This window comes from Homo sapiens, chromosome 8 (genome assembly GCF_000001405.40).
Source record: "Homo sapiens chromosome 8, GRCh38.p14 Primary Assembly".
NCBI classification, from domain to species: domain Eukaryota; kingdom Metazoa; phylum Chordata; class Mammalia; order Primates; family Hominidae; genus Homo; species Homo sapiens.
The window spans coordinates 59,173,668-59,174,882 of record NC_000008.11 but is presented as its reverse complement, the minus strand read 5'-3'; the positions used below and the strand labels follow the sequence as shown (position 1 = coordinate 59,174,882).

General features: G+C 50.5%; 1 annotated feature.

The window, feature by feature from the left end:
• Positions 414-1,005: an enhancer, noted in NCBI's record as "OCT4-NANOG-H3K27ac-H3K4me1 hESC enhancer chr8:60086437-60087028 (GRCh37/hg19 assembly coordinates)". NCBI's record gives its function as "activates a minimal SCP1, AML or CMV promoter by ChIP-STARR-seq in naive H9 embryonic stem cells {active_cell/tissue: H9 hESC(naive)}" and the evidence as "EXISTENCE:reporter gene assay evidence [ECO:0000049][PMID:30033119]".

Below are 1,215 nucleotides of genomic sequence, written 5' to 3'. Positions count from 1 at the left end.
TCAATGAGGAAATCTTGAAAACATTCTCTGAGCTTGAAAAGGAAACAATGATCATCATTATAAACCCTTTTATTTACCACAAATTTTAACAAATTTCAATTTACCAGAAATTTTAACAAATTTCAATTTACCAGAAATTTTAGCAAAATGAGGCAAAGAAAATAAATAAAAGGCATAATTAAACTGCCATTAAGACAACATGAGGGGAGGAGCCAAGATGGCCGAATAGGAACAGCTCCGGTCTACAGCTCCCAGCGTGAGTGACGGAGAAGACGGGTGATTTCTGCATTTCCAACTGAGGTACCAGGTTCATCTCACTAGGGAGTGCCAGACAGTGGGCGCAGGTCGGTGGGTGCGCGCACCGTGCGCGAGCCGAAGCAGGGCGAGGCATTGCCTTACTTGGGAAGCTCAAGGGGTCAGGGAGTTCCCTTTCCGAGTCAAAGAAAGGGGTGACTGAGGGCACCTGGAAAATCGGGTCACTCCCACCCGAATACTGCGCTTTTCCGACGGGCTTAAAAAACAGCGCACCACGAGAGTGTATCCCGCACCTGGCTCGGAGGGTCCTACGCCCATGGAGTCTCGCTGATTGCTAGCACAGCAGTCTGAGATCAAACTGCAAGGCGGCAGCGAGGCTGGGGGATGGGCGCCCGCCATTGCCCAGGCTTGATTAGGTAAACAAAGCAGCCGGGAAGTTCGAACTGGGTGGAGCCCACCACAGCTCAAGGAGGCCTGCCTGCCTCTGTAGGCTCCACCTCTGGGGGCAGGGCTCAGACAAACAAAAAGACAGCAGTAACCTCTGCAGACTTAAATGTCCCTGTCTGACAGCTTTGAAGAGAGCAGTGGTTCTCTCAGCACGCAGCTGGAGATCTGAGAACGGGCAGACTGCCTCCTCAAGTGGGTCCCTGACCCCCGAGCAGCCTAACTGGGAGGCATCCCCCAGCAGGAGCACACTGACACCTCACACAGCAGGGTATTCCAACAGACCTGCAGCTGAGGGTCCTGTCTGTTAGAAGGAAAACTAACAAACAGAAAGGACATCCACACCAAAAACCCATCTGTACATCACCATCATCAAAGACCAAAAGTAGATAAAACCACAAAGATGGGGAAAAAACAGAACAGAAAAACTGGAAACTCTAAAAAGCAGAGTGCCTCTCCTCCTCCAAAGGAACACAGTTCCCCACCAGCAACAGAACAAAGCTGGATGGAGAATGA